This window comes from Homo sapiens, chromosome 3 (genome assembly GCF_000001405.40).
Source record: "Homo sapiens chromosome 3, GRCh38.p14 Primary Assembly".
Taxonomy (NCBI): domain Eukaryota; kingdom Metazoa; phylum Chordata; class Mammalia; order Primates; family Hominidae; genus Homo; species Homo sapiens.
Genome location: NC_000003.12, coordinates 170,282,114 through 170,309,139, shown reverse-complemented (window position 1 = coordinate 170,309,139; position 27,026 = coordinate 170,282,114). Strand labels below are relative to the sequence as shown.

Below are 27,026 nucleotides of genomic sequence, written 5' to 3'. Positions count from 1 at the left end.
TCAAGTCTAGTGAATCCATCTGGCATGGGCTTTCATTTTCAGATATCTTGTAAAAGATCACATTAAACAGCCACTAATTCTTAGGTACTTATAATTTGTTTATCCATACAAATACTAAAAATAGTAATTGGAGTAAAAATAAAATGTCAACACCAGTAAGGCACAAGTTACATGAAAGTGAATCGCACTGCCACAAAAATCACTCTTAAATTCTGAGCTGGATTCATTTTAATTATAAATTTCAGAGATGGACTGTAAAAGATCTAATCTAAGCAGAAGCAGCTGACAATCTGCTCTCCCATTCCCAGGCAAAATCCAATTCATATTTCTCAGCACAAAAGCCAAAAACAATCTCATAGTGTGTATGTTAAGAGATTGATCTAAAGATTCTATTCTTATTGTGTATATATAAACCCAGAAAGCTGTGGAATCTACCATAAACCTGAAAAATGTCCAGCATTAATTACAAAAGAATGTTAAATAAAATTCCTATAAGTTTCATTAGTGAACCATCATGATTACATAATGTATATTTTCATGCATTTATTTGGCTTTTGTCACTGGACTATTCATTGTGGAGATGAACATCTCAGTATGTCTGTTTTCTACGTTTAACATCAAGGGCAGAGGTTGTTTTTATTAGCCTTATTTAGCATCGTGCACAGTAAATTCCAGTATATTCTGGAATAAGCTAGGGATATAAACTATTCAGATTTTTATTTTTTGAGACAAGTGTCTTGCTTTGTCACCCAGACTCGAGGGCTCACTGCAGCCTCACCCTCCAGGGCTGACGCAATCCTCCCACCTCAGCCTCCCGAGCAGCTGGGATGACAGGAATATGCCACCACGCCCAGCAAATTGTAGAGACGGTTGTTTCACTATGTTGCCCAGGCTGGTCTCGAACTCCTGGTCTCAAGCAATCCACCCGCTTTGGCCTCCCAAAGTGCTGGGATTACAGGCGTCATCCACTGCACCCAGCCATCTGGTTCTTAAGTGATCCTTAAGTCCTAGAGTAAACAAGAGCAAATCTAGGAAAGGAGACCTTCAGATAGACCAAATGACTCATTGTTAGCCATTGTCCACAAAGCAAGCTGTTGAATTTCAAGGACTGGAGATTGGTTGTACCTTTCGGGGAGAAACTGGTTATCCCAGTGATGGAATGCCTTAATGAAAAATTTCCCTAAAGCTTCAAGTTCCTCTGTGGAGTCTGTTTTAGGATTTACTCACTCACAGAAAACCACCAAATTTATGATGTGATACAGGGAATAGCCTGGAAAGTACTTTCTTAATACTGCCTAGAACTTCATTTTAAGCAAGAGTTGAAATTAGGATAAAATACTTATCCTATCTGGGAAGGCGGGGTGCGGTGGCTCATGCCTGTAATCAAGAAAAGAAGTAGAGATGGGGCATGGTGGCTCAAGCCTGTAATCCCAGTGCTTTGAGAGGCTCAGGCAGAAAGATGGAGGAGTTCAAGGCCAGCTTGGACAACAGTGAGATCCTGCCTCTACCAAAAAAAAAAAAAAAAAAAAAAAGACAGAAAAGAAAAAAGAAAGGCACTCACACTGTTTATATAAACACTAGCTACAATATGGACACTAGTTACAATTGAAGAAGAAATATTCGATTTTAGATTACTGTAAAGCATGAAGAGATAATCTGTTCTGAATCTTTAAATTTGCTTCGGTTTTATTTATTACTTATTTATTTATTGAGACAGTCTTGCTCTGTCACCCAGGTTGGAGTGCAGTGGCGCGATCTCGGATCACTGCAAGCTCTGCCTCCCAGGTTCACGCCATTCTCCTGCCACAGTCTCCCCAGCAGCTGGGACAACAGGCGCACACCGCCACACCCGGCTAATTTTTTTGTATTTTTAGTAGAGACAGGGTTTCACTGTGTTAGCCAGAATGGTCTTGATCTCCTGACCTCCTGATCCACCCGCCTCGGCTTCCCAAAGTGCTGGGATTACAGGCGTCAGCCAGCGCGCCCACTATTTATTTTTTGAGAGTTTCACTCTTGTTGCCCAGGCTGGAGTGCAGCGGCGCGATCTCGGCTCACTGCAATCTTTGCCTCCCAGGTTCAAGCTTCTCTTGCCTCAGCCTCCTGAGTAGCTGGGATTACAGGTGCCCACCTAATTTTTTGTATTTTTAGTAGAGACGGGGTTTCATCATGTTGACCAGGCTGGTCTCGAACTCCTGACCTCAGGTGATCCACCCGCCTCGGCCTCCCAAAGTGTAGGGATTACAGGCGTCAGCCACTGTGTCCAGCCTTGCTTCAGTTTTAAAACCAGTTAAAATATTCTATGATCAGCTGATGTCTTACTAATTTGTTTTCCAATTAAAAGAGATGAATGGAAAGATGAGTTAAAAATATATATAGTGGAGAGGCTTGGGTGTGGTGGTGGAAGGCCAAATTGGGTGGATCACTTGAGCCCAGGAGTTTGAGACCAGCCTTGGCAACATAGCGAGACCTCATCTCTACCAAAAAAAAAAGTAGCCATGTGTCTGTGGTGTATGCCTGTAGTCCCAGCTACTCCAAGCTGGAGATCCCATGAGCCTATGAGTTCAAGGTTATTAGTGAGCTATGACCATGCCACTGCACTCTAGCCTGGGTGACTGAGTGAGACCCTGTTGCTAAAATAAATAAAACAATGGAGAATATTTTAATTCCTAATTTTTAATAATATCTACATTAATAAATATAACATTAAATATTTTTTGAGAGACAGGGTCTCACTTTGTTGCCCAAGCTGGAGTGCAGTGGCATGATCATAGTTCACTGCAGCCACAACCTCCTGGGCTCAAGCAGTCTTCCCACCTCAGCCTCCTGGGACTATAGGCACTTTGCCGGCATGCCTGGCTAATTTCTTATTTTTCTGTATGTAGAGATGGGGTCTCACTATATTGCCCAGGCTGAACTCAAACTCCTAGGGTCAAGTGATCCTCCCACCTCAGTCTCCCAAAGTGCTGTGTGAGCCACTATGTCCAGCTAAATGTAACATTATTAAATGTAAATACGACAGCATCAGTTCTACCAGAATGGTGCTTTAAGTACAGCAAAATTCCAAACTCTGAAATTTTCACTTTTTCTTGAACAAATTTTGATGCATCTTTGTTCTTATACAAATTTCTGACATACTACATATGAAAAATGATCCACTCTCAATGGGTATTATACATTTTATTTAAAGACTTCAAAGTAAAAAAAAAAAAAAAAGGTACAGAAATAGATTACATTATGATGACCACAGTAGTATTCTACATGACAAAAATAAAAACAGATTTAAGTAAATGTACCGGCACTGAACAAGCATTTACTTAACATCCAATCCAGGCTGCATATGCACAAAATGATCTGACCACATGCTTATGCAAAATAAAGTTTTTCTTAGAAAGCCAAAATTCCAACCATTCTGACTGTCCGCTGCCTATTCCCCTGTTGAGTATTTTGAGCGAACTTCTATAGAATATAAGAACAATTGGCATGGCACTTAAAGACTGCAAAAAACAGAACACAATTAAAAACATTTATAATGCATTTCTGTATAAAATACACACCGTAAATCTTATTAGTTAAAAAAAGATTTAAAAACAAAAGACCACCCTGAATAATGGTTAAAACCTCATCATAGAAAAATGCTCATCATTTTGTACACTGAAAGAAACTACTGAGAGGTTTTTTGGGGGGCTGGTGGGAAGGTAGATACCTAACTTAAAGATTCATTCAAAATTTGCTTTAAATTGTGGGTAATAACTCACTGCTTACCCCTTCTCAAAATGTTTTATCATGAATACTCTAATATTTAACCACAGGACAAACATAAAGAATAACCTGAAGAAGGTATTTCTCAAAGTGAGGTCGAAGGCCCCAAAAGAAGTCTAAGGTGGGCTCACTAGTGTGCATTTTAAACCAACTTCCTAGGTGATTATTTCACATTCCAAAATCTGAGAACTAATGCCCTATGGGAAACAGCACCACTTAAAAGCAAGGCCATAAACATATTTCTGACATGAGATACAGAATTCTAAGTTTATGATTTGAAGTGAATACTGCTTTTTGTTTTAAAACAAGTTTCAGGTGTTAAGAGAAACATATTAAATAAACATGTGGATGTATATAAACATTTTCCTTTGACGTTTTCATTGCTTTCAGACTTATGTTATTTGAAGGAAAGAGAGTATATAGCTAGAAACTTTGGAAAAATGACATTTCCAATGAAATGCAGCATCCACCCCTCCAAAAAAAGATAATTTATTAAATGCCTACAAATTTTAAAACATTTGAAATTTAAACTAGATAACTTTCCTAAAATTTTTACTAAGATTAAAAAATTTTAAGTAATTTAGATAATCATGTTTACTTTTTAAGTCCCTTTTCATTAAAAATATATTTAAAATAAACAACAGAAGGATGCTATATTTGGCACCCCTTTAAATAATAAGCTGCTGAACACTAATATCCATAAAAAATAATCCGAGGAACTCTGCCTCTGAAATGTATTCTACTATGTATTACATGTGTTATCTAGTTAATAAAAACTCACTGAAAGAGCTGATACTGTGATGTGTGTGAGTGTATGTGTGTGTCCTGAACATTTATTCATGCCTACTTTATTTTTCTGATTTCACTAAAGGGTCCAATCATATAGATAATGTGGTTTAGGGGAAGAAATGAGCATAATTAAGATACCCTACTTAAAAAATAAATACTTTTCCTGTATGCTAAATTATAAGGAAAAAATATTATACATTCTGCCTCCACTGAATACATGGAATGCTTTTACAAGTTTGGTAACAATAATGAGTGCCTCATTTGAATCAAGTCACAAAAAGCAACTGTGGGGATTCACTCTCCAATAGGAAATAAAAATATTACCAGTGTACTTTTCTGTATCTATTTTAAATTTCTGGTTTTTTTCCTTTCTATACACTGAGTAATTTTCCATTCAACTGCATCCTTGGTCTTTTGCAGTGTATATATTAACACTGCAGTTAAAGTTTCCAATAAAGGGAAAGGCTCAGGAGCTACCCTGTTAATATACTTAAAAAGAAAAACCACTTGTGCCAGTTTTGCAAAAATAGTTAATGATTTGGAATCTGATTCATAATAAAAAGTGTCTTTTTTAACTCAAGAAGAATTTCCCAATTTGGTTTTTGTTTGAGACCGAGTCTCACTCACTGTTGCCCAGGCTAATCTTGGCTCACTGCCAACTCCATCTCCTGGGTTCAAGCGATTCTCCTGTTTCAGCCTCCCGAGTAGCTGGGATTACAGGTATGTGCCACCATGCCCAGCTAATTTTTGTATTTTTAGTAGAGACAGGATTTCACCATGTTGACCAGGCCAATCTCAAACTCCTGACCTCAAGTGATCTGCCCGCCTCAACCTCCCAAAGTACTGGGATCACAGGCATTGAGTCACTGCACCCAGCCGAATTTCCCAATTCTAAGCAAGCAGCATCTTCTATTACCAATTTAATAACTGCTGCCTTAAAAAAGATCAATAATTTATTTATCCAAGGCAATAAAATTTACACCTGAATTTTTAAACATAAAGAACTCCAAAACTAATAGGTAATATAAAAAGTTGTTGCATTTTATATTAATCTTTTATTTCAAAATTAAACCCTGAAATGATTTAACACAGAATGACAAAAATTATGGGAGGTTTATGATGTAATCCCACTATGTGCCTTAATGCAACAGATACTTTTTTAATGCAGTGTTTTTTTTTTTTTTAAACAAAAAAGATAACTTCATTACTCATCTGTAGGCCTTTTAAAAACTGAAAAACCAGTTCAACTAAATTTTGACATGATTGTCTGGAAGCTAGTAGTATTAATTTTTTTTTCATAGTAAAACAGATGTAATAATTGATTCATATAGTCTACAAGAGAAGATATTGGGTGTTTTTTTGTAGGTGGCAAATATAAAATGGTTAATTGTATCCAGGCTTGCAGCAAGTTTATCCATGCATTAAATGGCAACATGAGTAGAATACATGGTTGAAAAATGAGGATCAGACACATTCTTCTGCAGACATCAAAAGAGGATTGATATACTCAAAACCTTCAAATTCAGACTGATCAATCTTCCTCACAATGTCACTGTTGAAAGAAAAATAAATTTATTTTCATCATAATCAAGATTTCTTCAACCTTTAAATGGTAAAATAAGATTAAAAATCAAGTAATTAGGCTAATTGTACTGAAAGGAAATCTATAAATTTTTAGATTAATCCCCCAGATTTTCTAGACGAATCAAGAATGGAGTACTGAAAATTTAAAAAACCCCGATAATCCCACAAGCAAGTTTAGAGCCAAAAAGGAGTTCAAAACTGAGGACTGCGAATAAAAAAGACACCAGTTGTCACCATTCCAGTTAATCTTAACTTTTGACCAGAACAACATTCCTAGTTACAGGTGAACATCCAGGTTTGAATTAGCATTCAATTTAGTAGTCACCTCAACAGCCAGATGTTAGATAGTGTAGCCCAGAAGAAGTTAGCCAAAAGGAAAAGGCAATAGGAACAAGTACACTGAGAGACCTGGAATGAGGAGAGAACACCGCAGGGAGATCATGGGTCACAGAGAGGGGAGAGGTTGGCATTTTGTTACACTGGGCTTCTACTTTAATATACAGTGAGTAGTGCTATCAAATATTTAATACATAAATGTATTATGCCATACTAAGAAGCACAAAGTTACAGAGGATACAGTCCCTTCCTTCAAGGAAGGGAGGTAATTCCTACTGGAAGAGAAAGCAGTACTTGTTAAATTTTATACACAATAAGCTAAGTCCTGTTCTAACCATGGTTCTAAAGAAAGGTGTGACTTCTAGTTGGAGAAATCAAGGAAGGCAGTATTCATTCTGCAAACACTTAATGAATGGAATGATGAAAGACTGTGGTAGGTCTTGGGAAATGCAAGTAATTAGGGTGGAGCACAGGAATAGAAGTGTGTTAGATGATGCTGAAGAAAAATAATGGCTAAATCAAAGAGGCCAGTGATGTTTACACTAAGGAGTTTCACCTTGATCCATCAAAGATCTGGTTGCATCTGAGGTGGCTCTGAAAGATGGGAAAATTTCAATAGGTAAAAATGAAGGCGGGATACACAGGAATGAACAGGCAGAAGCAGAGACAATAATACTACTAGGGAATGGTGAGTAGCTAAGACTGATCAGAACACTGTTTGTATTATGGTGAGAGGTATCGCTAGAAAGTCAGGCTGGAGCAGATGTGGGGAGGCCTTAAATGCTAGCCAAGAGGATAGATGTTACCTGATAGGCAATGAAGGAGTTACTGAAGGTTTCTAATTAAAGGGGTTCAAGAATTGGAGTGGTACTTCACAAGGCATACAGAATAGGTTGCAAAGTGAAGGAGTAAAGATCAATTAGGAGGCTGATACAATACTCTGGGTATGACTTGAATGAGGCCTGAACTAGGGTGTGTCAACGGGAAGAGAAAAGAAAGATCTGATGTAAATGATGAAATAATGAAAACACAGACAAAGACTTGGCAGCTGCAGGTATTATGTAATCTGTTAAGAAAAAGGAGGAGTCCACAATCACTGACATCTGGAATCTGAACAACAGGGACACACCGTGAGCAGAATTAGGTAACTAAAAAAAAAGGAACTGATTGAGAACAATAGAAAGAGATCATAAAGGGTCATTACTTTCATTTTAGACTTCATATATTTGAGCTGCTTGGCTGACAAACTGGGGGCCGTGTTAAACAGAAATGCAGCTCAGGAGATCTAACGGCAGGGGATAAGTGCTTCAGAAACCATCATGCATTTATTCTTCACAGCAACCTTATGAGGTAGGCAATTTGAGAACAGGCTCAGAGAAGTTATGCAATTCCTATCCAAGGTTACCCAGTTGGTAAGAGGTGGCATCGGGATTCAAACTCCTATCTTTTGATTAAATCCAGTGTTCCTTCTAATACACAATGCTGTCAGAAATAATGACTTGGTACACATCTTTCTCCTCTAGTAGACAGCACGCTTTTGGGGAGATCAGACTGTCTTGATTGTCTTTGAATGTCTAGTATTTACCATAACACCTTTTGCTCAATAACCATTTGCCATTTAACTGAGAGCCATTTAATTAGCTGGTATCTATGCTACAGGGCTGGCTGAAATCTCCAAGGTACAAACTGCATATAGCAAAAAGAAGGCTGTCATGAACAGAACCATGGAGCATCCTGGTCTCAAGGGGACAGGGAAAACACATGAGAGGAAAGTAGTCACAGAGATGAAACAGAACCAGAATAGGCAGTGCTACCCAAGGCAAAGCCATGAGTACCAAATGCTTTACATTAATCAAGGGAGAGGAGGACTGACCCCAAAATGCTTTACAATTTAGAAATTAAGAAATTGATTCAACCTTCAAAAGCTGGAGGACAGGTTCGATTGTAAGGGGTTGAAGTGTTGACAGTAAAAAAAAAAAAAAAAAAAATTCAAGACAATCAATGTTGACTAGTCTGAAGAAGTTTGATTAGAGGTGCTGTGTATTTATTTTTCTTTGACCATGAACATCTATTAACTTTTTTTTTTTTGAGGCTTTAAGATGAAATGAAAATGAGGAAAAACGTGGTTGTTCAAAGAGGGGCCATGAGTTAGGGGGAAAAATCAGAGTATCTGAGCATGCTTACACAGAGGGAAACAAGCTAGAAAAAAATAAAGAAGGTCTAATAAAAAGATAACTGACAAAATGAAATCTTGGAGAAAACTAAGGAAACAGGTCTAGGAAAATAGCAGGGACACCCCTTGTAAAGGAGAGTCTTCCAAGAGTAGGGAATAAGAAAATGATGAAAAGAGTTAGAAAGCAATTCTGAGATGCAAGGTGGTCTGGGGACAGCTGCAAAGGAGGCAAGGTCACGTCAGAGAGGTTATCAGTCCTTGCATCAAATTAAGACAAGGTTAATCCATTAACAGTGATGGAAAAAGGAGTAGAACTGAAGGCTTCTGAAATGAAGAGACTGTTTGGAGCAGGTGCTGGGAGAAATGTGGTAAGAAATGAGATAGAAGTGAAATGACTGCCAAACAATAAGGGCCTCCCTGAGATTAGAGAGAATGAATCTGTAACAACAGGTAAATAATCAAAATATCTCCCAATTATTCCAAACTACATGTTTAAAAGATGAAGTATAAGCACAAAAAATATACCAGATCACTGATGGCTGGATTTAATAACTCAATGTAATTTCTTAAAAAAAGCAATTTGGCAATACAAGAGCTTTAAAATGTTAATACCCTCTGACCTAATTCTCTTTCTAGGAATCTATCTTAAGGCAATACTCAGGAACTCAAAGACAGTCCTTGTCAAATGGGAAACAGTGCAGCGTGGTAGAAAGAGCACAGGCCTTAGTCAGTCAGATTTGGGTTTGAATCCTGACTCTGCCACCTGATAGCTGTGTAACTTTGCTTAACCTCTCTGAGCCTTGGTTTCCTCATCTGTAAAACGAAGATGACAGTAACTAGATTACAAAGTTGTTGTGAAAATAAGATAATGCACTATAAAGCAAAGGAGAAAATGACAGTTACTATTAAAACTTATAATGGTACAGTAGATACAAATACCAGTAACTGAATGGTTGTATAAATTATAGTATAGGCCGGGCACAGTGGCTCACGCCTGTAATCCCAGCACTTTAAGAGGCCAAGGTGGGTGGATCACCTGAGGTCTGGAGTTCAAGATCAGCCTGGCCAACATGGCAAACTCTGTCCTTACTAAAAATACAAAAATTAGCTGGGCGTGGCGGCACGCGCCTGTAGTACCAGCTACTCAGGGTATCTGAGGCAGGAGAATCATTTGAACCTGGGAGGCAGAGGTTGCAGTGAGCCGAGATTGCACCACTGCACTCCAGCCTGGGCAACAGAGCGAGACTCCATCTCAAAATAAAATAAAATGAAATAAAATAGAAAATAAAAAAATTATAGTATAATCTGATAATGAAACATTGCATAGTCACTAAAAATGGGATTTCCAAAGAACTTAAAAAAAAATTTCAGTGTACAGAATTACTTACTCGTCATCTGGAGTGAGCTGGACAGGTTCATTAGTAAACTGAGAATCAAAGTTGTCCAAACCAAATTCCCCAGAAATATTTGGTTTAAAGGGAGGTACCACCTGTTTTTGCTCCATCTGAAAAGACATACTGGATGACAGCTCAAGTCTGTATTCTTAGAAAAACTCCACCTCTACAGTTCTCCTCTGCACTCATTGTTTACCTTATTAAAGTGAGTCCTGAAGCATGGTTCAATGATATTAGCAATGATGAACATAATTTACAAATATGAGCTGGGCATGGCGGCTCACGCCTGTAATCCCAACCGCTTGGTAGGTTGAGATGGGAGGATCACTTGAGGCCAGGAGTTCAAGACCAGCCCAGACAACATAGCAAGATCCCATCTCTATAAAAAAATTAAAAATTGGCTGGGTGCAGTGGCTCACGCCTGTAATCCCATCACTTTGGGAGGCCAAGGTGCGCAGATCACCTGAGGTCAGGGATTCAAGACCAGCCTGGCCAACATAGCTAAACCCCGTCTCTACTAAAAATACCGAAATTAGCCAGGTGTGGTGGCACACACCTGTAATCCCAGCTACTCTGGAGGCTGAGACAGGAGAAATCGCTTGAACCCAGGTGGCGAAGGTTGCAGTGAGCTGAGATTGTGCCACTACACTCCAGCCTGGGAGACAGAGCAAGACACCATCTCAAAAAAAAAAAAAAAAAAAATTGAAAATTAGCTGGGTACCATGGCTTATGCCTGTAGTCCCAGCTACTTGGGAGGTTACACAGGAGGATCTCTTAAGCTCAGGAGTTCAATCAAGGCTGTCGTGAGCTACACTACAGCCTGGGCAACGGACTGAGACTGTTTCTCCTAAAAAAATAAAAACAAGTATAAACATTGATATGGGCCTTAATAACATTACAACCTGCTTTATTACATTAATATTCAATTTTTTGGCTGGGCATGGTGGCTCACCCCTGGAATCCCAGCACTTTGGGAGGCTGAGGCGGGTGGATCACTTGAGGTCAAGAGTTCAAGACCAGCCTGGCCAACATGATGAAACCCCGTCTCTACTAAAAATACAAAAATTAGCTGGGCGTGGTGGCGTGTGCCTGTAATCCCAGCTACTCAGGAAGCTGAGGCAGAATTGCTTGAACCCAGGAGGTGGAGGTTGCAGTGAGCAGAGATCACACTACTGCACTCCAGCCTGGGTGACAGAATGAGACTCCGTCTCAGAAAAAAAATAATAAATTAAAAAAAAATTGAATTTTTTTTTTGTTTTAAAAGTTTTCTAAAAAGCAGTTTAGAAAGTGGTTTTAAGTTTTTAAAGCTGTGATATGTTAGCTAAGACAATAAAATTTGGCCCGAGATAGGCCGGGTGTGGTGGCTCACATCTGTAATCCCAGCACTTTGGGAGGCCGAGGTGGGTGTATCACCTGAGGTCAGGAGTTCGAGACCAGCCTGGCCGACATTGTGAAACCCCCCCCATCTCTACTAAAAATACAAAAATTAGCTGGGCATGGTGGTGAGTGACTGTAATTCCAGCTACTAGGGAGGCAGAGACAGAACTGCTTGAACTCGCGAGGCGGAGGTTGCAGTGAGCTGAGATCGTGCCATTGTACTCCAGCCTCGGTGACAGAGCAAGACTCTGTCTAAAAACAAACAGAACAACAACAAAAAATTGGCCCAAGATAATAATGAAACCTAATAGTTGAGTAATCAAAATTTACATACCATATCCCAATCAACATTTCGGAAGAACGGGTGTCCCTGAATATCAGCAAATCCTGTTTGAGGATGACAACCCAATCGTTCCTTAGGGTCCTATGGTGAAAGAAATGTTTCAAGAATTGGGTGAATGTCATGCTTTAAAATAAATCATCTTTGTGATCTGTGTTGTGTGCCCTCACATGATACTCTTATTTCTGAAGTTGGAATGGTCTACCTTTTATTTCTAGAAAGTACAACTCCAGAACAAATTGAGTTATTTGAAACTTGTGATTCCTCAAGGCACTTTCTCCACCCATCATGTAATTAAAACAGAGAATCATCACCAATTCCTTGCTAAAGAAAAACAGGAGGAAAAAGAGAACAGCAGAATCATTTGACAGCACCCAGCCATTTCTTTGCATGACCTAGTGTGAGAGTCAAAACATGCAAACCTCCAAACTTCATGAGAAGTTTGTTTTTAGCTTAATTTAAAATCCCCATGCCCAATTATAGCAACAAACCACCACCTGTGTAAGACAATGATACAACCATTATCTGAATCACTGGACTGAGGAGCCTGCAACTTATAAAAAGTCTTGGCTTATTCATCACTATGAATGAGAATATGTTCCCATTTTTCTTTCTGATAAAAGGTATTTTATTTTGCATATCAACACCTCTTGCCTTCATTTTTCACTATGTGAAAAATTAGGTTTCAAGTTTAAATCTTTCCTCACATAAATTGTTCATTTTTTAAAAGGCTTCAATTTCTTATTTTATTAAAACTCATTATCTTATCTATTTACCTTAGAAGGTAAATGTACATCAACTTTTCTATCATACCATTTATTTAAAGTAGAATTTATAATTGCCAAGACCACACTCCTAGATCCTAAAACTCCTCTAGCCTACCAACAGCAACAAACAATTGAATGATGTTCACATTTTTAAGAGCCAAAGATAGCATTTCATTTCTTCCGAATCTTACCTAATTATAGCATTTTTGACATGAGAATTTGTAGGGAGCACTGCGGCCCACGTGCTCAAAAAGTACATGGTAATAAATAGATTCTATGGATAATGATACAGAGAAAATGGAAACAGAGTTCAAAGTACAATTATGGCTAAACCCAAAGATTAACTCTTCCCCTATGTGAGAATATGGTATATATTATTTACACATACACAAAAATTATGTAATATATAGCTGGGGAGTAAATTTTATTGCCAAAATGGAAAGGACAACTAACTTATCTCAGGATCTAATGCTGTCAATTACTCTTTGGGTAAGAGACAAATTCTGGGTCAAACTGAAAAAGTTACATTCTCTACTGTTTTGGAATTTTACATTTCCCAAACCGCTACTGACCAGTTTGATATATATAGAAAGAGACAAATCACAAAATATTCTTATACACAATTTATACCTTATTAAGAAAACTCTTCAGAACACTTGCAGCTTTTACAGACAGAGAACGTGGTATGCGAATTTGTTTTTCCAAAATAACTAGAAAGATAAAAATTATAGTATTATATTTAACTTTTACATGGCTTTAATCTTTTTTCTTCTTTTTTGAAAGGGGCTTGTTCTGTTGCCCAGGTTGGAGTGCAGTGATGCAATCACAGCTCACTGCAGCTTTGACCTCCCGGGCTTAAGCAATCCTTCCACCTCAACCTCCCAAGTAGCTGGGACCACAGGCGCCACCATCACGCTCGGCTAAATTTTTTTTTTTTTTTTTTTTGAGATGGAGTCTTGTTTTGTCATCCAGGCTGGAGCACAGTGGCACGATCTCAGCTCACTGCAACCTCTGCCTCCCGGGTTCAAGTGCTTCTACCACTTCAGCCTCCTGAGTAGCTGGGATTACAGGCGTGTGCCACTATGCCCAGTGAGTTTTGTGTTTTTGGTAGAGATGGGGTTTCACCATGCTGGCCGGGCTGGTCTCAAACTCCTGACCTCATGAAGGTAAGTGATCCGCCCACCTCAGCCTCCCAAAGTGCTGGGATTACAGGTGTGAGCCACTGCGCCCAGCAATGGCTGGCTAATTTTAAATTTTTTTGTAGAGATAAGGGTCTCACCATATTGCTCAAGCTGGTCTTGAACTCCTGGGTTCAAGCAATCCTCCTGCCTTGGACTCCCAAAGTGCTGGGATTACAGGTGTGAACCACTGCACCTGGCAATCTTTAAATTTCTTTTTTCTTTTTTTTTTGAGACAGAGTGTCACTGTCTTGCCCAGACTGGAGTGCAGTGGCACGATCTCAGCTCACTGCAACCTCCGCCTCCAGGCTGAAGTGATTCTCCTGCCTGAGCCTCCTGAGTAGTTAGGATTACAGGTGCCCGCCACGACGCCCAGCTAATTTTTTTTTATTTTTAGTAGAGACGGGGTTTTGCCATGTTGGCCAGGCTGGTCTCAAACTCCTAACCTCAAGTGATCCGCCCATCTCGGCCTCCCAAAGTGCTGGGATTACAGATGTGAGCCACTATGCCTGGGTGCAATCTTTAAATTTTTATTATAAGATATTTAAGGCATTCCAGGAAAAAAAATAAGATATTACATATATAACTGAAGTGCCTCCTGTACTTTCCTAAACCCCTTCTTTTCCCATCTTCTCAGAGAAAGCCTCTAATCTGAATACTATTTATCATTTACATGAATGTCTTATTCTTTGACTACCTAATTATGCCTCAGTTTCCTCATCTGTAAAATAGGAATAAAAAAATACTTCATAGGATTGTTATGAGGTTTAAATGAGTTAACATTTGTAAAATGCTTAGCATATATAATATGCAATTTTTTTGGACACTGCCAAATTATTCTTTAAAGCTGTTGTGTCAGTTTTCATTCCTACCAGCAGTCTAGAAGAGTTCCAGTTGCTCCACATCCTCACCAGCACTGGTATTACCCAACTTTAATATTTTGATCAAATGTACCGATATGAAATGGTAACTCATTAACATTTAATGTGCATTCCCTTAATTGCTAGTGAGACTGAATGTCTTTTCACATATTCCATGGCCATTTGGGCATGAAATGCCTATTTATATCCTGTGATGGCTTTAATTATTAAATGTAGAATTTTATAGTAGTTTTCATACTTCTTTGGATTCTGTGCTAGAGGTCCCTGCACTTGTCTGCTTGTTTCTGTCAATTCTGTATATTCCCTGATGTGGGGCCTTTTTTCCCCATCTTTTGATCACTCATCATCTTGGTGCTCTATTTTCCCCTCATACTGTTCTTGAACTTATGCACTCAGCCTCAGGGTCCCTGTGTAAAGATTATCTCTCTAGCCACAGGATTCCTTTCTCCAATCTGTTTGTGATGGATAATTCTAAATAACCCCTGTTATGATTTTGAGTATGAGAAGGTAACTGTGAACAGGAGTGAAGACTATAGAAAAGAAAGAATGTATTAAAAAACATCAAAACCTAATACACAGAGGCCAGGTGCAGTGGCTCATGCCTGTAATCTCAGCATGCTGGGGAGGCTGAGGTGGGCAGATCACTTGAAGTCAGGAGTTCAAGACCAGCCTGGCCAACATGGTGAGACCCTGTCTCTACTAAAAATACAAAATTTAGCCGGGCATAGTGGTGTGTGCCTGTAATCCCAGTTACTCGGGAGTGTGCCTGTAATCCCAGTTACTCGGGAGGCTGAGGCAGAAGAATTGCTTGAACCAGGGAGGTGGAGGTTGCATGGAGCCGAGATTGCGCCCCTGCACTCCAGCCTGGGCAAAAGAGTGAGACCTTGTCTCAAAAACAAACAAAAACAACAACAAAACCTAATACCACCAGTCAGGATTATATTTTCCAGATTATGCTCATTTTTCTTACTCAAAGTAGTAACCTGAATCACTCTCATTTGTACTCTAGAATAGGTTTTTCTCAGAGAATCTCTGTAAAATACTCCAAATTACCTTGGAAGAGATAATCCTCTGTGTTCTGGTCAGGGTTATCGGAGCTCCCAACAATATCAAATGGAGACCTTCCTGCCATCATCTCAAACATGAGCACTCCAAGAGCCCACCAGTCAACACTGAAACCTTCAGAAAGAAATTTTAAAGCAATAAATTATACACTTTGCATTCTTGAAAGTTAGTAACTGGAAATTTTATCACATAAAGGAAAAAGAAACAATGAAAAAGTAAACTCTAAATGCATTCCAACTATCATGGTAGGCACTGAAGATTATAGAAATGCTTCATTTATCAACAAGGGTAGGTACCTAAAAGATAATTTTAAAAATAAAATTATGAGAAAAAAAAACTTTCTTTCTCCATGTATTTCTACTTTCAGACTCATGCCCAATATCTAATATTGTGTGTTGAGGATATAATTAAATTGTATTTCAGAGTAATCTCCTTGGTCTTTTTTTTTTTTTTTTTGAGATGGGGTCTCACTCTGTCGCCCAGGCTGGAGTGCAGTGGTGCAATCTCGGCTCACTGCAAGCTCCACCTCCCGGGTTCACGCCATTCTCCTGCCTCGGCCTCCCGAGTAGCTGAGACTACAGGCACCTGTGAACACGCCCGGCTAATTTTTTGTGTTTTCAGTAGAGACAGGGTTTCACCATGTTAGCCAGAATGGTCTCGATTTCCTGACCTCGTGATCCGCCTGCCTCGGCCTCCCAAAGTGCTGGGATTACAGGTGTGAGCCACCGCGCCCGGCTATATGTTGGCAACTGCTGGAGGTGTGGACAGGGGCTTTTTTTTTTTTTTTGAGACAGAGTTTCACTCTGTCGCCCAGGCTGGAGTGCAGTGGCACAATCTCGGTTCACTGCAAGCTCCGCCTCCCGGGTTCACGCCATTCTCCTGCCTCCTTGGTCTTAAACTTGATCTTTTGCTAGCTGATAAAGACCAGTGAAGGACAGTGGATTCAGACTTTGAGCAGCTCTCACAAGTACCACATTGTCCTTTATATCTGCTGAAGGCAGAGGGCCAAAACCCAAAAAGTCAAATGTTTTCTCAAGATAAGTGTATCTTCGGGTGCCTGAGATACAGTTAATCTTTCCACCATCTTTCAGATTCCTGGGGCAAATATCCCAGGAAATCTGAAAAATTTTCCAGGGGTTCATGACTCTGGAGTCACATGGGTGCTGTTCTGAATCCTTGACCTTAGGCGAGTTATTTAAACTTTCCGTATGTCAGTTTCTTCAACTGTAAAAGGAGAATTAATAGTACTTACCTCACAGGGTTGTTAAGAGGATTAACTTAGTTAATATATGTAAACTGCTTAGAATAGTGCCTGCTACTGTTTAGTGTTTGCCACTAATAAAATATTATTCAGCTTGGTACCCCCAAATACTGCCAAGGTCCCACTGTCTCGATTTCAAAGTCTGGGACTCTCCATGTAGTTTTTAACAGGATCAAGAATCCTTATATTAATAAGATCACGTCAAAATGCATTAGTGTACTGTAATGCAATTGGTACCACATTTTACCACCCATCTAGCAATAGCTAAAATAATACCACCAATTTATTTATTACCATAATCTTCTCCTCTTAAAATTTCAGGAGCAATGTAATTAGGAGTACCACAGAAAGTGCTGGTTGTATCTCCTGGCCGTAATCCTTCCTTTTATTAAAAAGAACAGAAAGAAAGAATGAGATAAAAAGTTCTGTTTTAAATTCACCCTTTCTATTTCACCTATCATATAAGTTCAGCATCTGCAGTGATACATTAAGCTCACTTAACATCACTAGAACAATTGCCTTTATTATTATTATTATTTTTGACAGGGTCTTGCTCTGTCGCCCAGGCTGGCATGCAGTGGCACGATCTCAGCTCACTACAACCTCCACCTCCTGGGTTCAAGCAATTCTTGTGTCTCAGCCTCCTGAGTAGCTGGAATTACAGGCATGCACCAACACACCCAGCTAATTTTTGTATTTTTAGTAGAGACAGGGTTTCACCATGTTGGCCAGGCTGGTCTCGATCTCCTGGCCTCAAGTGATCCACCTGCCTCGGCCTCCCAAAGTGCTGGGATTACAGGCATGAGCCATCATGCCTGGCAACTGCCTTTATTATTAAAATCACAGATCACCACTAAATAGCTTGAAGAAAACCTGTCCTCATTAGATGTTGCTAGAGTTGATTCAATTAAGGTACGACTTGAATTTAAAATAATTTACATACAAGTTAAAATTTAATAACAAAATTTTAATATTAGTAGAATAAGGCATATTTCATGAAGAAAAGAAGCACTTTAAATCTCACCTCCTAATACAACCATTGATAAGACTACAATATTTTCCTTCTGTTTATTTTTCCTAAGAACACTTTTTTTTTTTTGGAGACAGAGTTTCACTTTGTTGCCCAGGCTGGAGTGCAATGGCACAATGTCAGCTCACTGCAACCTCCGCCTCCCGGATTCAAGCAATTCTCCTGCCTCAGCCTCCAGAGTAGCTGAGATTATAGGCGTGTGCCACCACACCCAACTAATTTTGTATTTTTAGTAGAAAATGGGGTTTCTCCATGTTGCTCAGGCTGGTCTCAAACTCCTGACCAGATGATCTGCCCACCTCGGCCTCCCAAAGTGCTGGGATTACAGGCATAAGCCACCATGCCGGGCCTGTATTTTAATAGCTGTAGGATGGAAAAAAAATAAGGCAAAACACACTAACAGGCAGAGTAAAGGAACTACCCAATAATTAATGGGACAATCACCAAGAAATTGTAACAAATATACACTTGCATACACTCAACAACATGGCCTCAAAATACAAAGAGTAAAAAAGGACAAAATTATTAGGAGAATTTCACAATCTCCAATCATAATAGGAGAAGTTAATATGAGAATAATCTATATTAGAAAATGATAGATCACACATACTAAAAATCAGTAGGCAGAGAAAGATTTGGAAAAAAGCTAGAGTTAAAATATATATATATATATACAAAATACATATACATGTAGAATATATGTACGTCTATATGTGTGTGTGGAGTGAGGGAGAAGGAAGAGAGACATTAGAGAGAGAGACTCCCTGCATGTAAAGATTATATATCCTTTTAAGTACACATGGGCTACTGGCCATATATTAGGTCATAAAGGAAATCTCAATGTATTCCAATGAACTAATATTCAAACCATTCTCTGGCCAAAAGGCAAATAAAAAAAAAATCAACAATAAAAAAGTCTAAAGACAACTGAATCATACATAATTAAGCATGTTTTAAAACTTTGTAAGCATTTCCTACACAACCGAAGACTTTCTAATATTAACAACTATATGAAATTCAACAGAACATATGTACCTAGAACTTAACCACTTTCCTATAGATTATACGGTACAAAATTCTAAACCAAAAAAGAGGGGCAGCACAAAACTCAAGCCTTCCTTTTTTTTTTTTTTGAGACCGAGTTTCGCTCTGTCATCCAGGCTGGAGTTCAGTGGCGTGATCTTGGCTCATTGCAACCTCTGTCTCCCAGGTTCAAGTGATTCTCACGCCTCAGCCTCCCAAGTAGCTGGGATTACAGGTGCATGCAACCACGCCTGGCTTTTTTTTCTTCTTTTAAGATGGAGTTTCGCTCGTTACCCAGGCTGGAGTGCAATGGTGCGATCTCGGCTCACTGCAACCTCTGCCTCCCAGGTTCAAGCGATTCTCCTGCCTCAGCCTCCCAAGTAGCTGGGATTACAGATATGCACCACCACGCCCACCTAATTTTTTATTTTTAGTAGTGACGGGGTTTCACCATGTTGGTCAGGTTGGTCTCGAACTCCTGACCTCAAGTGATCCACCCGCCTCGGCCTCCCAAAGTGCTGGGATTACAGGAGTGAGCCACTGTGCCGAGCCTCTGGCTTTTTGTATTTTTAGTAGAGATGGGGTTTTGCCATGTTGGCCAGGTTGGTCTCAAACTCCTGACCTCAGGTGATTCACTCACCTTAGCCTCCCAAAGTGCTGCGATTACAGGCGTGAGCACTGTGCCCGGCCCTTCCTTCCATTCTTGTCCCTGACTCACCCAGTTCCAGCTCCCTAGAGGCAACCACTATTATGTGGCCCTCCAGAGACATTCTGGGCATGGTGAACATATTTTTCTTCAAATTTCACCCTGTTATATATAACACTGCTATAAACATCTAGAAGAAATATTTAGTAATATGTTGTGACTCCAAGAATTTTAAAATGATTTCTAAAAGGGATATTATATGCTATTTTTAGAAATATGAATATGGTTTTTATTGTTTTCTATTATTGGCAACGGCAATACATTCTCATGAAAAATGACATGTACTTTCAGTACAATAGTCAGAGGTAAGAGATGTAGTCTGTTAACTTGTAACAGCTATGCTTAATCATTCACTTGTTGACTGAATGTCAGAATGTAGGTCCATTTGCTAAGTTTTCTGCAGCATAACAGATATTATTAGAATTCCTCTGTTGATGAAAAAAACACTTAAAGGCACATCAGTTCATAAAACCACGAAAGGCTGCCACTTAATAAAATCAACGTTCATAAAATATTTCAAACATAACTCTAAAGATACTAATTCAAGTTTTCATCACTATCCTCTGCAATCTTTATAAAGAAATTCATCCAACACTTGCATGAAGTCAAGCTTCAGGTAAGTTAAATATTGACACTAAGTCATAAAAGAGCATTCAAACTTTTGGAGGGTTAATTTCTCATAAGCTTTATTTTTTATTTTATTTTATATGTATATATTTTGAGGCGGAGTCTCACTCTGTTGCCCAGTCTGGAGTGCAGTGCAGTGGTGTGATCTTAGCTCACTGCAATCTCCACCCCACCCCAGGTTCAAGAGATTCTTCTGCCTCAGCCTCCCAAGTAGCTGGGATTACAGGCACTCGCCACCACACCTGGCTAGTTTTTGTGGTTTTAGCAGAGATGGGTTTTCACCATGTTGGCCAGGCTGGTCTCAAACTCCTGACCTCAAGTAATCCGCCTGCCTTGGCCTCCCAAAGTGCTGGAATTATAGGCGTGAGCCACTGCACCCGCCCTAGGCAGCTCTTGGAGAAGGAGGAAAGGCAGAAAGGGAGGTAGGAGGACATTTGATTTAAAGACCTACTCGATAAAGATCTCAGATTTATGAAACACCTTGACTAACTTGATTGAGGATCCCTGTAAGAAATGAAAATGTATAAGAAGCCAATATTATTTTCCAGTAAGAGTAACAAAAGACTAAGAAAGACAAAAAGAGAAAAGTCCTTTTTTTTTTTTTGAGACGTAGTCTCACTCTGTTGCCCAGGCTGGAATGCAGTGGCGCGATCTCGGGTCACTGCAAGCTCCGCCTCCCGGGTTCTCGCCATTCTCCTGCCTCAGCCTCCCGAGTAGCTGGGACTACAGGCGTCCGCCACCACGCCTGGCTAATTTTTTTGTATTTTTAGTAGAGACGGGGTTTCACCATGTTAGCCAGGATGGTCTCAATCTCCTGACCTGTGATCCGCCTGCCTCGGCCTCCCAAAATGCTGGGATTACAGGTGCAAGCCACCGCACCCGGCCAAGAGAAAAGTCTTAATTCATTTTTGTGATTTTCTTTTTTTTTTTTTTTTTTTTTTGAGACAGAGTCTCACTTTGTCACCCAGACTGGAGTGCAGTGGCACAATCTCCACTCACTGCAACCTCTGCCTCCAGGTTCAAGCAATTCTCCTGCCTTAGTCTCCTGAGTAGCTGGGACCACAGGTGTGCCACCATGCCCAGCTAATCTTTTGGTGTTTTTAGTAGAGACAAGATTTTACCATGTTGGCCAGGCTGGTCTCAAACTCCTGACCTCAAGTGATCTGCCTGCCGGGCCTCCCAAAGTGCTGAGATTACAGGTGTGAGCCATCACACCCTGCCCATTTTGATTGTTTAAACAATGCAGTGATTCCATTAAAGGTGTTATTTAAAAATAACATTTTAAAATGTTATTAAAATGCATTAGTGTACTGTAATGCAATTGGTAACCACATTTAACATAACATTTTAAAATAACAACTTGAAAAATGCTGAAAAGTAAACAGAATCAACGTGTGATGCTACATAACAGAATGATACATAAAAGAATCAGACAATTCTATATGTTAAGACTTCATCTGTTATAAGCATTATGTATATACATATATATATTTATTACTCTCTCTCTCTCTATATATATATATATTTTAGATAGGATCTCACTCTGTCACCCAGACTGGAGTGCAGTGGCGCGATTACAGCTCACTACAGCCCCAGGCTCAAGTGATCCCCCCATCTCAGCCTCCCAAGTAGCTGGGACTACAAGCACAACCAACCCAGTGTAATTTTCCTATTTTTTGTAGAGATGGAGTTTTGCCATGTTGCCCAGGCTGGTGTCGAACTTCTGAGCTCCAGCAATCTGCCTGCCTCGGCCTCCCAAATTGCTGGGATTACAGGTCTGAGCCATCATGTGTTATGTATTTTTTACAAATATCTTCAGTCGGGCGTGGTGGCTTGCTTTCCTTGTTAACTGGAACAAAATTATCCTCACATAGTAACATGACAAATATGTAAATGTATGAACTGCATTCCCCATTCACCTGAGGAAAGTGCCTCCAGAGCCTGGAGATTATCTAAATGCTAACATTATGAACTCTTGGGTTTGAGACGAGCCTGGGCAACACAGCGAGACCTCGTCTCTATTTAAAAAAAAAAAAAAGAAAGTAAAAATAAAATAAAAATAAAGATCTTCTTAAATGACTTTATAATATTGATCATAAACTACAATAAAAGTTTTGGTCAGAAATCTCTCCTCATAAACCAAAATATTTACTCAGAATATCCAAGGGCAGAATTACCGGATCAAAGAACATGGCCATCTTTAGGATTCCTGATAATTCCCCCATCAAACTGCTTCTCAAAAGGTTTGTAACAATTTATATACACACCAGTGACATATGCCCATTTCTTTAAACTCTTGTACATACAGGCTATTCTAACTTTAAAACCCGTATCTCACAGGCAAAAAAAAAAAAAAAAAAAAAAGCCTCATTGTTTTAATTTGTGCACTTCGTATGAAGGGTAATACTCTCCATGTTTTTTGTTCAGTTTCATTTATTCTTGGGGATAAGACTCCTCTATCACTGTCACTTTTTTCTGAAATGAGAAAAAAATCCCTTAGGAAAAAAAATGACACAGAGATCAAAAAGGTACCACAAATATAAGTGATAGGTACATAGGGGTTCCACTCGCTAAGCTTTCTAATTGTTTATGATTGAAAACTTGTATAATATAAATACGTAAGGGCCGGGCATGGTGGCTCACATCTGTAATCCCAGCACTTTGGGAGGCTGAGGCGGGTGGATCACCTGAGGTCAGGAGTTCGCGACCAGCCTGGCCAACATGGTGAAACCCCGTCTCTACTAAAAATACAAAAAAATTAGCCGGGCATGGTGGCAGGTGCCTGTAATCCCAGCTACTCAGGAGGCTGAGGCAGGAGAATTGCTTGAACCTGGGAGGTGGAGGTTGCAGTGAGCCGAGATTGTGCCATTGTACTCCAGCCTGGGCAATAAGAGCAAAACTCTGTCTCAAAAATTAAAAAAAAAAAAAAAAAATTAAAATTAGCCAGGGATGGTGGGGCGCACCTTAATCTCAGCTACTTGGAAGGCTGAGGCTGGAGAACGGCTTGAATCCAGGAGGCGGAGGTTGCAGTGAGCCAAGATTGTGCCATTGCACTCCAGCCTGGACGACAGAGCGAGACTCTGTCTCCAAAAAAAAAAAACAACAATAATTAATTAATAAGTATCATGTGAAAAGTACGGTTGAATTCTGTACATAAAAGCAAACATAGTTTAAGTGAAGATTTTATTCTTTAATGCATGCTGAACAGATAATAAAGTTAAATCTTCGATACAACTAGGTTGTCATATGCCATGTTGTTAGCATTTAGATAATCTCCAGGCTCTGGAGGCACTTCCCACAGGTGAACAGGGAATGCAATTCACACATTTACATACTGGTTGTTGTATTGCTATGTGAGGATAATTTTGTACCAGTTACCTTAACAAGGAATAGTTCCTTACACATTTAGTGGGAAAATATCAGACATTTAAAATGGAACACTGTTATAAAAGAATAAAACATCAAGAAATAGGCCAGGCGCGATGGCTCACGCCTGTAATCCCAGCACTTTGGGAGGCTGAGGCAGGCGGATCATGAGATCAGGAGATTGAGATCATCCTGGCTAACATGGTGAAACCCCGTCTCTTCTAAAAATACAAAAACTTAGCTGGGCGTGGTGGCAGGCGCCTGTAGTCCCAGCTACTCGGGAGGCTGAGGCAGGAGAATGGCGTCAACCCGGGAGGCGGAGCTGGCACTGAGCCGAGATTGCGCCACTGCACTCCAGCCTGGGGGACAGAGCAAGACCCTGTCTCAAAAAAAAAAAAAAAAAAAGAAATGAAGACATATTCCGGGAGTAACTGAAATTCTTGTTTTATCCTATTATGCTTTATGTCAGATGTTTAAAATTTAAATATAAAAAATGTTTGACTTCTGAGGAAAATCCTGAATGCATTATATAAGATTCACTACTAAATGGCAAAAATTGGAAGGTCATATGCAAATGGTTGTGTTAAGTAGTGGAATTGCAGACAATTTTTATTTCCAAATTGTCTTCAATTGTATTTCAACTTTCAAGATAAAAAGTTATGTATAATAAAAAGAAATTAGCTCTTATTGTAGTACACATAACACAGAAGATACAAATTTTGCAAATGGTTAGAAAAAAAGTACATTTGTCTTTGTGCTAGAATTCCACAAAGCTTAAGTAAATTAGCAAAATTAGTAATCATTTCCTCATCTTTAAACATGAAGTTATTTTACAAAGACTACTAGCTGCTGAAGACCTTTTAAAATAACTAGAAAATTTTCCTCACCTTACACATGCCGTAGTCAGTGAGTTTAATGTGGCCTTCAGAGTCCAGTAATACATTGTCCAGTTTCAAATCTCTATAAATTATCCCTCGCTCATGAAGATAATTTAATGCTAGACTGATTTCTGCAGAGTAAAATCTAAAATTAAATAAAAAATAAGTCATTTGATTCAACCATATTTAAGTTCTACATTTACAACTGGAAACACAAAAATTCATATTAAAACATATTTTTTTCTCCCAGTGATTTTAGGAACAAATTTGAAAAATGAACTGAAGTACCACTTTAAAACATCTGAGCCCAAGACACAATTGTAAAAGTTCCTGTCTAACTTAAACTCACATTTTTCATAAAGCTATTAATTTGATAGTCTCAAACAGGGGTTCTCAATCTGGGTCCTTGGGTGAACTTCAGGCAGTCCATACTTCTACAACTGGGGGCAAAGGTGTATGCCCGTATGTACATGCACAGTATCTACAGAGTCCTCAAAGCTTTCATCACTTCTCTAAGGGACCCGTGATCCTCCGAGAAGGCTAAGAACCACTAATGGGGTCGAGAATAGAAAGAATACTACAAGCTGACTACTCAATACTATAAAATCCTCATGAAGGTTTTAGAAAAGGAATTAAATGAAAATATTCTACAACTATAAACAACTGTAAAATTTAATATTAAATGAAGAACTTAAAAAAACTGCTACCAACTCACTGGTGACAACCCAGAACTTTTGGCCTGAATAATGAAAATGGAATGCCTGAGCTGATGTATGGCTGCTTTGGTGGCACATTATCATGATCATGTGTGGAGGTACGTAACATACACCTCCTAGCTACTTAATTCCGTGATTTGGGAACTTAAGCCCTTGTCCTGGGCTTTAGTTCTTACAAAAGCAAAGATGGTATAAAACCAAAACTGGCACATTAATATAGTAAAAACCAGACTAGCTTTCCCACATTCAACTGAACAAACAAGGAACAAATATTGGCTATGTTCACAATTCAAAATATCATCTGTGGCTCTATGAAGGGTGACCATTTGATAAGGCATAAATACACAATGAACATAAATGAACACCAAAACAACAACAAAAAAACCCAAATAAACAAAAAACCCAGGTTGGCCTCAAGATTAGACAAGTACAATTTATATCTTCTTATGAAATTTTTGACAAGCAATAATGAAGTAGCAAATTTTCTACAAGTTTTTAATTTAAATGAAATTTCTAATATTTATTCCCTGCATGATAATAACATACATATACAAACTCACATGCTTCATTTTGGCATTACTCTTGTGAAGTAGGAAAGGGTGAGAATTACTGCTGATTACGGATAAGAAACAAAACATGGTACTGATGGATTAAACTTTTTACTCAAGGCCATGATCCCTTCCCACCTATCTCCTCCATCCAACACATAAACAATTTACAGTCTTGTATATTAATATCAAATTAAGGGCACAAAATTAATATTCAATACTTTTTTTTTTTTTTTTGAGACGGAGTCTCGCTCTTTCACCCAGGCTGGAGTGCAGTGGCGCAATCTCAGCTCACTGCAACCTCCGCCTCCCGGGCTCAAGCGATTCTCCTAATTCAGCCTCCCAAGTAGTTGGGACCACAGGTGCCCGCCACCACGCCCGGCTAATTTTTATATTTTTAGTAGAGATGGGGTTTCACCATGTTGGCCAGGATGGTCTCGATTTCTTGACCTCATGATCCACCCGCCTCGGCCTCCCAAAGTGCTGGGATTACAGGCATGAGCCACTGCGCCTGGCCTATTCGATATTATTTTATTCATCAATAATTATGGGATTAGAGGAAAAAAAAGCCAAAGAACAATAAATCACAGGAAGAACAGTCAGAAGTATATACTAGTTTAAGAGGGATCTTTTTTTTTTTTTTTTGAGACAGAGTCTTGCTCTGTTGGCCAGGCTGGAGTGCAGTGGTGCGATCTGGGCTCACTGCAACCTCCGCCTTCCGGGTTCAGACAATTCTCCTGCCTCAGCCTCCTGAGTAGCTGGGATTACAGGCACCCGCCACCACGACCAGCAAATTTTTGTATTTTTAGTAGAGACAGGGTTTCACCATGTTGGCCAGGCTGGTCTCAAACTCCTGACCTCAGGTGATCCGCCCGCCTCAGCCTCCCAAAGTGCTGGGATTAGAGGTGTGAGCCACTGTGCCCAGCCAGAGGGATCGTTTAATTACTCTCAAGTATGTATGAATAGCACTCTTATCGTGAAGAACTCTCTGAGAGACCACTACAAACCTGAAAAGACTAATAAGTGTTTATTAGTCTCAATTATTTAAATGGCTGATGCTACATAGACATAATATTTGAAAAGGATTGGTTTTAGCAGACTAAAGGTTTGCCTTTTAATACTGTTCACACTTTTCAATTGCTTAGGAAGCACTGTGTGCATGTGTATGTACATGTATGTGTATAAATGTAAAAGAATATATAATTGTTTTACATATATATAATGTAAA

The 27,026-nt window shown here is 39.3% G+C and overlaps 1 protein-coding gene across 3 annotated transcripts in view; it reads right to left on the bottom strand.

Moving 5' to 3' along the window:
- Positions 1 to 3,162: 3,162 nt before the first annotated feature.
- Positions 3,163 to 27,026, bottom strand: part of PRKCI (protein kinase C iota) — an 83,554-nt gene continuing 59,690 nt past the window's right edge. For 2 of the 3 annotated variants that reach the window (NM_002740.6, XM_047448575.1), the window contains 7 exons: positions 24,544 to 24,679; positions 17,199 to 17,286; positions 15,632 to 15,757; positions 13,150 to 13,229; positions 11,747 to 11,836; positions 10,030 to 10,145; positions 3,163 to 6,100 (listed from right to left, as the gene is read on the bottom strand). In NM_002740.6, the coding sequence (NP_002731.4) occupies positions 6,013 to 6,100; positions 10,030 to 10,145; positions 11,747 to 11,836; positions 13,150 to 13,229; positions 15,632 to 15,757; positions 17,199 to 17,286; positions 24,544 to 24,679 (724 nt within the window). In that variant the 3' untranslated portion in view covers positions 3,163 to 6,012. Of the gene's footprint in view, positions 6,101 to 10,029; positions 10,146 to 11,746; positions 11,837 to 13,149; positions 13,230 to 15,631; positions 15,758 to 17,198; positions 17,287 to 24,543; positions 24,680 to 27,026 lie in introns of those variants that run through there. The other variant, XM_047448574.1, reaches the window with a different exon arrangement.